We start from the raw sequence: 17,382 nt of genomic DNA, 5'->3' as shown, positions 1-17,382 counted from the left end.
AAACCTGAGAGTCAGAAAACCGTGGTCCAAGTCCTGCCTCTGCCACTAACTTGCTTTGTGACCTTGTGCGACATTCTCTATTTTCCAGAGTGAATGGTCTCCTATATCCACTAAACGGACTGGATTATCTAATTTCAAAAGCAGTGGTTCCAAAGTTTCAGAGTCAACCGGGGATGATAATAATAATGATGATGATGATGATGTGAAGCAATAGAATTTTAGATCTCCATTCTAAAATTTCACAAGGAAATTTATATTTTAATTTTTGACTGTGATTTTCACCATTAAATTAGGCTGAGAACTACTATCCTAGAGTTCTTGTATCTCTATCTCTCATAGATTATATTTTAGAAGAGTACAATGAGTTATGCAAATCGCTCTAATAGGAAAATAAAATATAAAATCTTCCCAATACACTGAATTTTTCTATCATGAAAGCAGCTTTCATTCCTGCAGGCTCTACACCCTCATTTCTTCAGTAAGTACTTGTTTTGTGCCCACTATGCCAGGACCTATGGAAGAACCAGGGATCCCAAAGGAAACAGAACAAGAAGCCTTTCCTTAGAGGGGCTTGGAAGCTGGGGAAGGAGGGAAGACAAGAAAACCAGTGATCTTAGTACAAACATCCCTGTCATGATGAGGGGAAATCCAGGATGCAGTGGTACCCAGGAGGAGCTAAGAACTCAGTCTTGGGTAAAAGACTTGAAAGCAGTAATATCTAGCTGTGCCTTCTCTGTTTTTTTGTTTTTTTGTTTTTTGTTTTTCCAGTACAAAGGGAAGCCCTCCTTGAAATATCAAGGCTTCTTAATAGCAAATACACTAAGCTGAGCCACAACCTGCAGATTGATTAAACATACAAAACTCCCCTCTGTGCAATAGTAAAATATAATTAAAGCCTCCATGCTATTAAATGAGAGAAAGAAACACCACTTTTCCTCCCGCTAAATAGCAGCTGAATCGAATTCTTAAGCATCTACCAAGTGTTCATTGTATACTCAAGCTAAACTTTCTTTTGGCTTCCAGAGGGGTGGGAGTTTGCGCTGCAGTTACCAGTTTCATCACTGGGCAGTTTGGAGGGAGTAGGGGTCTTTTGCTTGATGATATCATTAAGATTTCCCTAGTGTGGACAGAAAAGTTATTAACTTGCCAACGACAGATACTTAAATGCCATCAAAAAGTTTTGAATTTCTCATAATTTTCCTTAATGGTACAAAAATCGTCTCGGGACTCCAGTTCTGAGATTTCATTTTCAAAGAACCCTGTGCTGGAAGTTTCAAATTACCTAATTACCATATTTATTGCCAGAATCTGTTTTCTAATCCCTGATGACTTTGTCAGGTATATTTATGTGCTGTTTCTTTTCTTCTTTGGCGACGGGTACTGAGCTGGGTTTGTTGCAACATGAATTGGAGAGCCCCTTGGTTAGGGACAATAGAAGGAAGCCTGGGGCAGGAATGGCCCCTGAAGATCAGACAGAGAGGAAACCATGGCTGGCTTCCAAGTAATCATTACTGGCATCAGAGACACCATATTGCAATTGTAGTGGATATAAATTAAGCTACACGTTAACCTGACTCCTCTCCTGCTTAGACCACCCAAGCCAGGAGCCCACTTGAGTTCTGGTTGGATCCAGAAACGATTCCTCTTCATTCTTTCCTTAATTGATGCTCAGCCACAAAAAGTTCGTTGTCATGAGGAAGGAGAAGACAAATAAAATGTTAATCATATTTAAGGGTCATGTGGTTCTATCCAATGGAAAAAACAGCTTTGACCCTAAAGTCTTTGAAAGAACTGGGGCTTGCTTTACGGCTGCCAAAGGTCAGTTTTATACAGTTCAGTGGGCAGAGCAGTTTGGGTTTTTTTGTTTTTTTTTGGGGGGGGGGAGTTGGGCATTATTAAAAACAACAAAACCTCGTTTTAACTTATCTCAAACATCCTCTGTGACACCTGATTCTCTGAAAAAAATTCTCTGGTGGGAGAAAATGAACATGACTTAGTGGTTTCCTAGCCTATTTTCTTTTGCTTCTTCTCATTAAGATAAAAGAAATACCATATACACACAGAACTAAATAAAATAAAATAGAAAATTAATTCTTGAAAATGCTTTCTCTTTTAATGATCAAATGTAGTATCTGGAAGGGCTTTAGGTTTACAGACTAGTATGGCTGGATAGTTTTGCTATCTGTTTTTGAGTTAAGATGTTCTTAGCAATTTTTTTCTCTCAATTATTGCAATATTTTCATATATCCTTTTTTTGCTTCCTTCTAGGTTAAAAACTATCTTCCTGGCTGGGTGCGGTGGCTCACGCCTGTAATCCCAGCACTTTGGCAGGCCAAGGCGGGCAGATCACGAGGTCAGGAGATCGAGACCATCCTGACTAGCACAGTGAAACCCCGTCTCTACTAAAAATACAAAAAAAAAAAAGTTGCTGGGCATGGTGGTGCATGCCTGTAGTCCCAGCTACTCAGGAGGCTGAGGCAGGATAATTGCTTGAACCTGGGAGGCGGATGTTGCAGTGAGCTGAGATTGCACCACTGCACTCCAGAATGGGCGACAGAGCAAGATTCCTTCTCAAAAAAACAAACAAACAAAAAAAAACAACTATCTTCCATTAATGGCTGGGTGGTTCCTTTTGAATTAAGATACTATTGGCCACTTTCTCTCTAGATTCTTGCACTATGTTGCCAAACACACACACACACACACACACACACATTTCCCTTTCGAGGTTAAAGACTGTCTTCTTTCATATGTCTTCTTTTTTTTTGTTTTGTTTTTGAGACGGAGTTTCATTCTTGTCGCTCAGGTTGGAGTGCTACTGCGCAATCTTGGCTCACTGTAACCTCCGCCTCCCAGGTTCAAGTGCCTCAGCCTCCCAGGTAGCTGGGATTACAGGCACTTGCCACCACACCTGGCTAATTTTTTGTATTTTTAGTAGAGATGAGGTTTCACTATGTTGACCAGGCTGGTCTTGAACTCCTGACCTCAGGTGATCTGCCCTCCTTGACCTCCCAAAGTGCTGGGATTTCATATGTATTCTTTATTATTTCAAGAGACCCAGTTGTCATATTCCCAAATAGGAACTGCACTTAGTACTTAACTGTCCTCAACAAAGGGGCTCTTTCCTTGCAATATGTAAACAGAGATTTGCTTCAGGAAATATACTGCAATGCCAAGATAAAACAGCGTGCCTAGTAGGTACAAGTGCTGACAAAAATGGATCTGATGGCTTCTTAGATGTGCCCAAATACAACAGTAAACCAACATATAAATGATAATGATGTCATATGCCACAGAAACTAAATTGGACGTTTGTGATTAGAACATGAAGGAAGGAAATTTAACATTTACTGATCATACACAGAAGCAAGGAACTGAGCCCAGTGCTTTCCCAAAGTTTTTTAACATTTATTCCTCATAAGGGTCAGGTGCAGTGGTTCATGCCTGTAATTCCGAAACTTTGCGAGGCTGAGGCAGGAGGATCACCTGAGGTCAGGAGTTCAAGACCAGCCTGGCCAACATGGTGAAACCCCGTCTCTATTAAAAATACAAAAATTAGCTGGGCTTGGTTTCGCACACCTGTATTCCCAGCTGCTCGAGAGGCTGAGGCAGGAGAATCGCTTGAACTTGGGAGGCAGGGGTTAAAGTGAGCCAAAATCGTGCCACTGCACTCCAGCCTGGGTGATACACTGTCTCTAAAATAAAATAAAATAAAATAAAATTTATTCCTCACAAGAATCCTGCAAGATAGGCCTTTTTCTCCCAGTTAGATATTTAGTCACTTATCGATTCATTCCTTCTTCACACTCTGTGTTAGAATACAAAATATATTTGGTCTTTGTCCCTGGTTCTCTGTACAGAACTCCTGAAACCCTTGTAATTTCTTGAGTGATCAGGATAACAGGAGCACCTTTTGTTAAATTTGGTTTTTCTATAAAGATCCTAAAACCCTTGGAATTCTAAGTGATAAGAATGTCTTTTGTTATTTATAACAAGCCCTTTGGATCACACTTGAATTTATGCTAGTGAGGTGACTGGTGTGGGGCCCTTACATAGCCTCTGGATGGGGCCACCAGAAAGATCAAGTAAGTAATTAGAAGGTAGGAATTTTCAGCCCCACCCACCAACCTTCAGGGACAGAAGGAGGGCCCTCAAGATTAAAAAGTTCTATAAACACAACACAATTTGCTAAGCTTTTGCTTTGGTGAACGTAGCCAGGTAGTAGGAAGGTGGCACCCTCTGAGAGGGCATGGATGCTCCTGGAACCACCCATCCACCCCCACCATACCTTGCCCTGCTCAACAACATCTCTTTCATTTGGCTGTGAGCCCTTATAGCTAATTATCAAGCTTCAGAAGGGGGTTGAGGGATGTCAGCGAATTTGCGGCCAGTTGGTCAATAGTCCTGGTGGTCCAGAGACTTTCACTAACAACTAATGTGGAGTCAGTCTTGTGGGACTGAGCTGCTAATTTTTGGGATCTGATGCCGACTCCAAGGTAGTTAGTGTCAGAATTGAATTAAATTTTAGTGCAGCCAGCTGGTGTCTGGAGGATTGGAGAATTGATTGTTGGTGTTGGAAAACACCCCAGATAATCAAAGACACACATAAACTGACTCATGTATTTACTCCATACCCGCTATGGGCCAGGCAATCTGCTAGGCTCTATCGTGAGTCAACCCTATCTTTGAGGGGCTTATAGTTTAGTGAGTGGGCAGGGGTAATTGTAGAAGGTAGCAAAAGATAAATACTGAAATGTCAAGGGCATTACAGGAATATGAATAAAATGCTGATAAGACTAAGAGCTTCATCGACCTGGAGACATTGAGAGATCAAGGAATTTTCTCTCCCCTCCTTTCCTAGATAGAAACTAAAGAGAATGAGGGCTTTCGGCTACAAATTTAATTGAATTTTTGCTAGAGCAGCAATCTCACTGATTTTCTTCCAGTAATAAAGGAAGCTGCTCTTGCCATGGGCTCTGTTCTTTTTCCCTGCAAGCTCCAAAAGACCCAATTTGGAAGCAGGGGTGGTTGAACAAAAGGAGCAAGCTCTACGCTGCAGGATAATGTGATTTGCAGACACTATGGATAGTGAGCGACTTTTCAAATTGTGAAGCCCTTCCAAAATTAGTTTCTCCCTACTTATGGTTTGGGCTATTCTTTCCCCAAATTTGTCGTGGGACGTTGTGTGTTCAGAGTGTTTTGCTTCATAAGTATGGCTGCATTCTCACTAGTGGAGTTACTGGAAAGGGGTCCTGATCCACACCCCAAGAGAGGATTCTTGGGTCTCACGCAACAAAGAGTTCAGGACGAGTCCGTAGAATAGAATGAAAGCAAGTTTATTAAGAAAGTAAAGGAATAAAAGAATGGCTACTCCATAAGCAGAGCAGCCACATGAGCTGCTCAGTTGCTTATACTTATTGTTACTTCTTGATTACATGCTTAACAGAAGGTGGATTATTCATAATCTTCCAGGATAGGGGTGGGCAATATCCGGAACTGAGGTACCTTTTCAGATCACATAGGGTAACTTCCTGACATTGCCATGGCATCTGTAAACTGTCATGGCACAGGTGGGAGTGCTAACGCATTATAATCAGAGTATAATGAGCAATGAGGACAACCAGAGGTCACTCTCATCACCATCTCGGTTTTGGTGGCGTTTGGCCAGCTTCTTTACAGCAAACTATTTAATCAGTAATGTCTTTATGACCTGTATCTGGTGCCTGCTTCCTATCTCATCCTGTGACCTAGAATGCCTAACCTCCTGGGAATGCCCAGTAGGACTCAGCCTCATTTTATCTAGTTCCTCTTCAAGAGGAACTTGGAGTTGCTCGGGTTCAAATGCCTCTGACAGAGGGAAGTAAAGCAGAGTGGGATTTGGGGACCCTGAGAATGCTTGGACCACATGGGGCAATCTCCCCTATTCTGTGAACTATAAATGGCAGTCCACGATGGTGGTTGTGTGGCATTACCACTTCCGACACTAAATGTATGTTGTTTTTCCACTCTGCTTCTTCAATTCTCTGACAGTAAGTGCAACAATTCAATTGCCCCCATTGAAGATGCCACCTGCAAATGGGATTCCGAGGCTGCCCCAATTCTGCCTGGCCAATTATGAATTTGGGGGGTCCCCAAAACCCCACTCAGGTTTGATGATTTGCTAAAATCACTTAGAGAAATAGATCACTATACTTACATTTATCCAGGTATTATAACAGATACAACTCAAATGGCCAAATGGAAAAGATACACAGGGCAAAGGGGGAGTGCCACAGAGCTCCCGTACCCTCTGGGTGCACCACCTTACTGGCACACCAGTGGATTCACAAGCCCAGAAGCTGTTTGAGTCTCCTTGTCTCAGAGATTTTATAACCCAATATCCTGCTCTGCCTTTACCCCCCACCCTCACTCCTGCCACTGGCACCCCACAGGGGAATCAGGGGATGAGGCTGAGAGCTTTCACCTTCTAATCATGTGTTTTGTCTTTCCAGCCCTCATCCTGAAGTTGTTAGGGGCCTCCTCCACCAATCACCTCATTAGCGTAAACTCAGTGTGATTTACAGGAGCTCATTATGAATAACAAAAGACACTCCTATCACTCAGGAAATTTCAAGGATTTTACTATCTCTGTGCTAGAAACCCAGCGCAAAGACCAAACACAAGTTTTATTCTGTTGTGGTTGTATAACCATCAGTAGTGGAGAAGTATTTTAACCAAGGAGTTGGACTCCTGAGTTTTGCTTATGACTCCATATTATTCCCCCTGTTTATCAGCCTCTTGGCGTTAATACAACTATCATATCTTACAGAACTTTTTTTCAAAAAATTTTTTATAGAGACAGAGTCTTGCTATGCTGCTAAGGCCGGTCTTAAACTCCTGACCTTCAGTGATCCTCCCACCTAGGACTCACAGAGTGCTGGGATTACAGGTGTAACAACTATCATATCTGTATTTATTTATTTATTTATTTTGAAACAGAGTCTTGCTGTTGTCACCCAGGCTGGAGTGCAATGATGGGATCTCGGCTCACTGCAACCTCTGCCTCCTGGGTTCAAGCAATTCTCCTGCCTCAGCCTCCCAAGTAGCTGGGATTACAGGTGTGCGCCACCATGCCTGGCTAATTTTTTTCTTTGTATTTTTAACAGAGATGGGGTTTCACCATGTTGGCCAGGCTGGTCTCAGACCAGCCTGGTCCTGACCTCAGGTGATCCACCTGCCTCAGCCTCCCAAAGTGTTGGGATTAGAGGCGTGAGCCACAGCGCCTGGCCCAACTATCATATCTTTAGAGTAGTCCCAAACTCAGACGGCAGTGGAGATAGACAGGTGGAATGATGGTCCCAAGGGTCCACAGCTGGCATTTTGTGATTCATGGGCCAGGACTCCAGGATGGAAGTGGAGAACATGTATACATATGGCCAGGGCTACCATGTATAGTGTTTTAGGTTGTCACTGCACAAGGCCACCCAACTGTCAATCTGAAAGAATCCAGCTTTTAAGAGTTTATTCAAAGGCTGGACACAGTGGCTCACTCCTGTAATCCCAGCACTTTGGAAGGCAGAGGTGGGTGGATTGCTTGAGGCCAAGAGTTGAAGACCAACCTGGGCAACATGGTGAAATCCCATCTCTATTAAAAATACAAAAATTAGCCTGGCATGGTGGTGTGTGCCTGTAGTCTCAGCTACTTGGGAGGCTGAGGCATGAGAATTGCTTGAGCCTGGTAGGCGGAGGGTGCAGTGGGCTGAGATCCCAACCACTGCACTCCAGCCTGGGCGACAGAGTGAGACCCTGTCTCAAAACAAAACAAAAAAAAACAGTTTATTCAAGCAAAAAGCTGGGAATAGCCATTTGGGAAACACAGACTCCAGAAAAATGAGGTCAGTGCTCCAACGTTAAAAGTTATGCTACAGGCTGGGCGTGGTGGCTCATGCCTGTAATTCTAGCACTTTGGGAGGCCGAGGCGGCCAGATCACCTGAGGTCAGGAGTTTGAGACCAGCCTGGCCACCTCTACTACAAATACAAAAATTAGCCAGGTGTGGTGGCAGGAGCCTGTAATCCCAGCTACTCGGGAGACTGAGGCAGGAGAATTGCTTGAACCCGGGAGGCAGAGGTTGCAGTGAGCCGAGATCGCACCATTGCACTCCAGCCTCGGGGACAAGAGTGAGACTTCGTCTCAAAAAAAAAAAAATAAAAGTTATGCTATATAGGCAGAAAACAAAGAAGTGTAGTAGGATTATAACATTTTCTATACAAGCCTGGTTTATGAGTTACAACAGTTAGTTACAGTTAGTTAGTTTGTTTTTCCATACAGCTTGTTTTCATTTCCTCTCCAATTTAAAGGAGTGTGTTTAACATCCCACCTTAGGTGGTGATGTCATTGTGTGAGAGAGAAAGAGGGAAGTTCATCTATAATGAAGATCAACAGTTAAGGGGAAGGGGCCTTTCCTGGCACTCTTTAGTCATTTACAGCATTTTACAAAACCATGTAGGTAAGGAAAAAGGCTAACTTATAATCAGAGAAATAAAGGGTTTTTTTTTTGTTTTGTTTTGTTTTGTTTTTGAGACAGAGTCTTGCTCTGTCACCCAGGCTGGAGTGCAGTGGTGTGATCACAGCTTACTGCAACCTGAACTCCCCAGCTCAAGCGATCCTCTTGCCTCAGCCTTCTGAGTAGCTGGGACTGCAGGTGCACATCACTACGCCCAGCCAATTTTTTTAATTTTAATTTTTTTTAGAGATAGGTTCTTGCTATGTTGCACGGGGTAGTTTCTAACTCCTGGCCCCAAGCGATTCTCCCACCTCAGCCTCCCAAAGTGTTGGGACTATAGGTATGAGCAGCCCAGCCAAAAATAAAAATTTTAAAACAAAATGAAGTAATGCTGTTTTTATGTAGATAGCTTTCTCAAAGACAACTTAAAGTATGTGTGTTTGTAATTTAAATGTGCATTGGCCAGAGGAGACAGAGGCAGGTTTGCTGAAGAATCCCAAATAGGAATTTGAGAAGTATCTGAGCTAGAAATGGCAAGAATTAAGGGAAGACTGCTTTGTATGCAAAAATGTGAGAGATATATATTCATTTTCTGTGATCACTGACCAATTTCTCATTTCCATTATATACTTATTTCAACATCTGAAGACTTCTCCATGAGGGCTAAGCCTTATGGACACCACAATGTGCATAACTTCATTAGATCCTACATGCAGCTTCCCTGTTACCAGAGCTTCTTTGAGGATGCTAGGGGAGAGGAGGGGAATTTTGTGCACTTTCCTATTATTAGCCTTCTCCTAGTAACCAGTTTCTGCAGCGGGCTTGCTTAAGAAAGATTTGGGAGTTTCAGAACTGAGCTTCAAAATAATTGCTCTATTGGGCCAGGTGTGGTGGCTCATGCTTGCTTTTTTTTTTTAATTTAAGTTCTGGGGTACATGTGCAGAATGTGCAGTTTTGTTACTTAGGTATACACGTGCCATGGTGGTTTGCTGCACCCATCAACCCATCACCTACATTAAGTATTTCTCCTAATGTTATCCCTCCCCTAGTTCCCCACCCCACAACAGGCCCCGGTGTGTGATGGTCCCCTCCCTATGTCCATGTGTTCTCACTGTTCAATTCCCAGTTATGAATGAGAACATGCAGTGTGTGGTTTTCTGTTTTTGTGATAGTTTGCTGAGAATGATGGTTTCCAGCTTCATCCATGTCCCTGCAAAGGACGTGAACTCATCCTTTTTTCTGGCTGGATAGTATTCCATAGTGTACATGAGCCAGGTTTTCTTTATCCATTCTATTATTAATGGACATTTGGATTGGTTACAAGTCTTTGCTATTGTGAATAGTGCCACAATAAACATACGTGTGCATGTGTCTTTACAGTAGAATGATTTATAATCCTTTATATATAGTAGAATGATTTATAATCCTTTGGTTATATACCCAGTAATGGGATTGCTGGATCAAGTGGTATTTCTAGTTCTAGATCTTTGAGGAATCGCCACACTGTCTTCCACAAGGGTTGAAATAATTTACATTCCCACGAACGGTGTAAAAGCGTTCCTATTTCTCCACAGCCTCACCAGCATCTGTTGTTTCCTGACTTTTTAATGATCGCCATTCTAACTGGCATAAGATGGTATCTCATTGTTGTTTTGATTTGCATTTCTCCAATGACCAGTGACGATGAGCATTTTTTCATGTTTGTTGGCTGCACAAATGTCTTCTTTTGAGAAGTGTCTCTTCATATCCTTTGCCCTCTTTTCAATGAGGTTGTTTTTTTCTTGTAAATTTGTTTAAGTTCTTTGTAGATTCTGGATATTAGCCCTATGTCAGGTGGATAGATTGCAAAAATTTTCTCCCATTCTGTAGGTTGCCTGTTCACTCTGATGATAGTTTCTTTTGCTGTACATAAGCTCTTTGATTTAGTTAGATCCCATTTGTCAATTTTGGCTTTTGTTGCCATTGCTTTTGGTGTTTTAGACAAGAAGTCTTTGCCCATTCCTACTTCCTGAATGGTGTTGCCCAGGTTTTCTTCTAGGATTTTTATGGTTCTAGGTCTTACGTTTAAGTCTTTGATCCATCTTGAGTTGATTTTTGTATAACGTGTGAGGAAGGGGTCCAGTTTCAGTTTTCTGCATATGGCTAGCCAGTTTTCCCAACAGCATTTATTAAATAGGGAATCATTTCCCCATTGCTTGTTTGTGTCAGGTTTGTCAAAGATCAGATAGATGGTTGTAGATGTGTGGTGTTATTTCTGAGGGCTCTGTTCTGTTCCATTGGTCTATATATCTGTTTTGGTACCCCGTACCATGTTGTTTTGGTTACTGTAGCCTTGTAGTACAGTTTGAAGTCAGGTAGCATGATGCCTCCAGCTTTATTCTTCTTGCCCAGGATTGTCTTGGCTATGCGGGCTTTTTCTTGGTTCCATATGAAGTTTAAAATAGTTTTTTCCAATTCTGTGAAGAAAGCCAGTGGTAGCTTGATGGGGATGGCATTGAACCTATAAATTACTTCAGGCAGTGCGGCCATTTTCATGATATTGATTCTTCCTATCCATAAGCATGGAATGTTTTTCCATTTGTTTATGTCCTCTCTTACTTCCTTGAGCAATGGTTTGTATTTCTCCTTGGAGAGGTTTTTCACATACCTTGTAAGTTGTATTCCTAGGTATTTTATTCTCTTTGTAGCAATTGTGAATGGGAGTTCACTCAAGATTTGGCTCTCTGTTATTGGTGTATAGGAATGCTTGTGATTTTTGCACATTGATTTTATATCCTGAGACTTTGCTGAAGTTGCTTATCAGCTTAAGGAGATTCTGGGCTGAGATGATGGGGTTTTCTAGATATATAATCATGTCATCTGCAAACAGAGACAATTTGACTTCCTCTCTTCCTATTTGAATACCTTTATTTCTTTCTCTTGCCTGATTGTCCTGGCCAGAACTTCCAATACTATATTGAATAGGAATGGTGAGAGAGGGCATCCTAGTCTTGTGCCGGTTTTCAAAGGGAATGCTTCCAGTTTTTGCCGATGCAGTATGATATTGGCTGTGGGTTTGTCATAAATAGCTCTTATTATTTTGAGATACATTCCATTGATACCCAGTTTTTTAAGAGATTTTAGCATAAAGGGGTGTTGAATTTTGTTTTAAGGCCTTTTCTGCATCTATTGAGATAATCATGTGGTTTTTGTGATTGGTTCTGTTTATGTGATGGATTATGTTCATTGATTTGTGTATGTTGAAACAGCCTTGCATCCTAGGGATGAAGCCAGCTTGATCATGGTGGATAAGATTTTGATGTGCTGCTGGATTCGGTTTGCCAGTATTTTGTTGAGGAGTTTCGCATCAAAGTTCATCAGAGATATTGGCCTGAAATTTTGTTGTTGTTGTTGTTGTGTCTCTGCCAGATTTTGGTATCAGGATGATGCTGGCCTCATAAAATGAGTTAGGGAGGATTCTCTCTCTTCTATTATGTGGAATAGTTTCAAAAGAAATGGTACCAGCTCCTCTTTGTAACTCTGGTAGAATTTGGCTGTGAATCTGTCTGGTCCTGGACTTTTTTTGGTTGGTAGGCTATTAATTACTGCCTCAATTTTAGAACTTGTTATTGGTTTATTCAGAGATTTGACTTCTTCCTGGTTTAGACTTGGGAGGGTGTATGTGTCCAGGAATTTATCCATTTCTTCTAGATTTTCTAGTTTATTTGTGTAGAGGTGTTTATAGTATTCTCTGATGGTAATTTGTGTTTGTTGGATTAATGGTGATATCCCCTATATCATTTTTTATTGTATCCATTTGATTCTTCTCTTTTCTTCTTTATTAGTCTGGCTAGCAGTCTATTTTGTTGATCTTTTCAAAAAACCAGCTCCTGGATTCATTGATTTTTTGAAGGGTTTTTCGTGTCTTTATCTCCTTCAGTTCTGCTCTGATCTTAGTTATTTCTTGTCTTCTGCTAGATTTTGAATTTGTTTGCTGATGCTTCTCTAGTTCTTTTAATTTTGATGTTAGGTTATCAATTTTAGATCTTTCCTGCTTTCTCTTGTGGGCATTTAGTACTATAAATTTTCCTCTACACACTGCTTTAAATATGTCCCAGAGATTCTGGTACATTGTGTCCTCGTTCTCATTGGTTTCAAAGAACATCTTTATTTCTGCCTTCATTTCATTATTTACCCAGTAGTCATTTAGGAGTAGGTTGTTCTGTTTCCATGTTGTTGTGCAGTTTTGAGTGAATTTCTTAATCCTGAGTTCTAATTTGATTGCACTGTGGTCTGAGAGACTGTTTGTTATGATTTCCATTCTTTTGCATTTGCTGAGGAGTGTTTTACTTCCAATTATGTGGTCAATTTTAGAATAAGTGCGATGTGGTGCTGAGAAGAATGTATATTCTGTTGATTTGGGGTGGAGAGTTCTGTAGATGTCTATTAGGTCTGCTTGGTCCAGAGCTGAGTTCAAGTGCTGAATATCTTTGTTAATTTTCTGCCTCATTGATCTGTCTAATATTGACAGTGAGGTGTTAAAGTCTCCCAGTATTATTGTGTGGGAGTCTAATTCTCTTTGTAGGTCTCTAAGATCTTTCTTTATGAAGCTGGGTGCTCCTGTATTGGGTGCATATATATTTAGGATGGTTAGCTCTTCTTGTTGCATTGATTTCTTTACCATATGTAAATGAATCTTTGTCTCTTTTGCCCTTCATTGTCTCTTTTGATCTTTGTCGGTTTAAAGTCTGTTTTATCAGAGATTAGGATTGCAACTCCTGCTTTTTTTTGCTTTCCATTTGCTTGGTAAATAGTCCTCCTTCCCTTTATTTTGAGCCTATGTGTGTCATTGCACATGAGATGGGTCTCCTGAATACAGCACATTGGTGGGTCTTGATTCTTTATCCAATTTGCCAGTCTGTGTCTTTTAACTGGGGAATTTAGCCCATTTACATTTAAGGTTAATATTGTTATGTGTGAATTTAATCCTGTCATTATTATGCTAGCTGGTTGTTTTGCCTGTTAGTTGATGCAGTTTCTTCATAGTGTCGATGTTCTTTACAATTTGGTAAGTTTTTGCAGTGGCTGGTACCAGTTGTTCCTTTCCATATTTAGTGCTTCCTTCAGGAGCTCTTGTAAGGCGGGCCTGGTGGTGACAAAATCTCTCAGCATTTGCTTATCTGTAAAGGATTTTTGTTTCTCCTTCACTTATGAAGCTTAGTTTGGCTGGATATGAGATTCTGGGTTGAAAATTCTTTTCTTTAAGAATGTTGAATATTGGCCCCCACTTTCTTCTGGCTTATAGGGTTTCTGCAGAGAGGTTTGCTGTTAGTCTGATGGGCTTCCCTTTGTGGGTAACCTGACCTTTCTCTCTGGCTGCCCTTAACATTTTTTTCCTTCATTTCAACCTTGGTGAATCTGACTATTATGTGTCTTCGGGTTGCTCTTCTCGAGAAGTATCTTTGTGGTGTTCTTTGTATTTCCCGAATTTGAATATTGGCCTGTCTTGCTAGGTTGGGGAAGTTCTCCTGGATAATATCCTGAAGAGTGTTTTCCAACTTGGTTCCATTCTCCCTGTCACTTTCAGGTACACAAATCCAACGTAGATTTGGTCTTTTCACATAGTTCCATATTTCTTGGAGGCTTTGTTTATTCCTTTTTATTTTTTTTTTTTCTAATCTTGTCTTGTCTCTTTATTTCATTAAGTTGATCTTCAATCACTGATATACTTTTTTCCACTTGATCGATTTGGCTGTTGAAACTTGTGTAAGCTTCATGAAGTTCTCGTGCTGTGTTTTTCAGCTCCATCAGGTCATTTATGTTCTTCTCTACACTGGTTATTCTAGTTAGCAATTCATCTAACTTTTTTCAAGGTTCTTAGCTTCCTTGCTTTGGGTTAGAACATGCTGCTTTAGCTCAGAGGAGTTTGTTATTACCCACCTTCTGAAGACTACTTCTGTCAATTTGTCAAACTCATTCTCCGTTCAGTTTTGTTCCCTTGCTGGCGAGGTGTTGTGATCCTTTGGAGGAGAAGAGGCATTCTGGTTTTTGGAATTTTCAGCCTTTTTGCGCTGGTTTCTCCCCATCTTTGTGGATTTATCTACCTTTGGTCTTTGATGTTGGTGACCTTCAGATGGGGTCTTTTAGGGGATGTGCTATTCCTTTCTGTTTGTTAGTTTTCCTTCTGACAGTCAGGCCCCTCTGCTGCTGGTCTGCTGGAGTTTGCTGGAGGTCCACTCCCAACCCTGTTTGCCTGGGTATCACCAGCAGAGGCTCAGTTGGAAATGCAGAAATCACCAGCCTTCTGCATCTATCTTGCTGGGAGCTGCAGACTGAGGCTGTTTCTATTTGACCATCTTGCCAGTAATCCCTCCAACCCCCCCCCCTTTTTTTTTTTTTTTGATGGAGTTTCACTCTTGTCACCCAGGCTGGAGTGCAATGGGCATGATCTTGGCTCACTGCAACTTCCACCTCCCGGGTTCAAGTGATTCTCCTGTTTCACCCTCCTGAGTAGCTGGGATTACACGTTCTCGACACCAGGCATAGCTAATTTTTGTATTTTTAGTAGAGATGGAGTTTCACCATGTTCGTCAGGCTGGTCTTGAACTCCTGACCTCAGGTGATCCACCCACATTGGCATCTCAAAGGGTTGGGATTACAGGCGTGAGCCACTGTGCCTGGCTGGCTCATGCTTTTAAACCCAGCACTTTGGGAGGCTGAGACTGAGAGGATTGCTTGAGCCCAGGAGTTTAAGACCAGCCAAGGCAACATAGGGAGACCCTGTCTTTACAAAAAATTAAAACATTAACCAGGCATGGTTGTATATGCCTGTAGTCCCAGCTACTGGGGAAGCTAAAGCGGGAGGATCAAGGCTGCAGTGAGCCATCATTGTGCCACTGCACTCCAGCCTGGGCAACAGAGTGAGACCCTGTCTCAAAAAAAAAAAAAAAAGCTCTATTAATAATGACAGAGATCACAGGAGTGCTAATGCAGGCACGGATAATAGCTCACACTTACTGTTTACTATGTGTCAGGGACATGTAAGGCCTGACATGAGTTATACCATTTAATCCTCATAATGTTCTCACAAAGCAGGTGCACTATTTCCCCACTTAGATAAGCAAACTTGTGAGGGGTATGAAACTTGTTCAAAGACACCCATTTACTAAGTACTACCACTGGGCTTCCCACCCAAGACTGCTCAATTCTAAGATCTGAGCTTTGAACCACGACATTAAAATCTGTCTCTGTAACAGGGGAGGTAACCTTTTCATGTAAAAAGCCAGACAGTAAATATTTTAGGCTTTGTGGACCAAAATACAAAATTGAGGATACAATATAGGTTCTTACATAAAAAAAGAGAAAACCAATTTCTACCAATTTTTGAACAAAATCCAAACTTTTATTTATAAACACTGAAATTTGAATTTCATATATATTATAGTTTTCACATGTCACAAAAATACCATCATTCTTTTTATTTATCTTCAACCATTTAAAGATGCAAAAACCATTCTTAGCTTGGAGTTTAACCACACACACACAAAAGAAAGCAGAGTGTGGGAGTGTAGTAGTTTTATGACTACTGTTGGACATGGAGTGTTAACAGTGAGATTGATTGCCTGGGACTATGAATGAGAAAACAAAACGAAACAAAAAATACAGAATTCCAAGAAGGAAAACTCCAGCTACGTTGCCATTTAGCTGAACCTTTTCTGGCATAGCCAGAAGTACTATCTACTTTTTCCTTCAGTGGTGAGGTTCCCATTTTGAATTTAGCATTGTAAAAATTTCTTAAGGGAGAATGAACAGAATCCCTGAAATTAGAACTGGTCTAGAAAATCCGGCATATGTTTCTTTAGCTATGGGTGAAGTTTAGATGTTATAATTGGTCTGGAACTCTGCCCACATCTTTCTTTCTTACTGTAACCCACTTGCTCAAGTAGAAGGAAGAGGAGGAAAAGTAAGAAGCAAAATGAGGACAAAGAAGAGATGAGAGAAGAGCTATATTTATGGTCCATATTTCCTTCATTCTTTTTTTAGGAACTCCAAGATTTCATTATATCCCTTGACAAATTCATATACTTACATAGTATTCTGGAATTCAGCCAACTCTAGTAGAGGCTGAGAGACAGTTGGAGGATGCTGAGAGGAGATTCAGGACATGGCACTCATCCCCATTGGGATGGGTGACCATCAGTGGTGATTAACCTTCCTGAAGTTCTGTGTCATCCTCTATAAAACAAGGGAAGAGCCCAAAATTTGATAATTCTTATGAACTAGGACCCTCGGTTACATCCAATTTAGAACTAACAATTGCTTCTCTAAAATTAGGAGCAGAGAGTGCAAAGAATGTAGATGATCACGTTTTGTCTCCCAACATCAAGAACACTCTAAAGCAAACTTTCCTTTAAAGAGGCAAGCCTTTGGAGTCCCTTGAGACCCTGTATCATAGTTTATACTTTTGAATCCTTTTTATTTTTTATTTACTTTTTTTTTTTTTCTGACACAGACTCTTGCTCTGATGCCCAGGTTGGAGTGCAGTGGTGCAATCTCAGCTCACTGCAAACTCTGCCTCCCAGGTTCAAGTGATTCTTGTGCCTCAGCCTCCTGAGTAGCTGGGATTACAGGTGTGCACCACCACGCCCAGTTAATTTTTGTATTTTTAGTAGAGATGGGGTTTCACCATGTTGGCCACGTTGGTCTTGAACTCCTGGCCTCAAGTGATCCACCCACCTCGGCCGCCCAAAGTGCTAGGATGACAGGTGTGAGCCACTGTACCTGATGAATTTTGACTCATAATTAAGTTTCAATACCAAGTACATTATTAAATCAGAACACAGGGTGTTGACACACAAATGGGAGCAAATGACCCAAGGGAAAGAAGTAACACAGCATGATACCTAAGAAGGTGTAATT

The sequence above is a fragment of the Homo sapiens genome, chromosome 8, assembly GCF_000001405.40.
Source record: "Homo sapiens chromosome 8, GRCh38.p14 Primary Assembly".
Classification (NCBI taxonomy): Eukaryota; Metazoa; Chordata; class Mammalia; order Primates; family Hominidae; genus Homo; species Homo sapiens.
The sequence above is the reverse complement of the archived record's forward strand: the minus strand, read 5'-3'. Positions refer to the sequence as shown.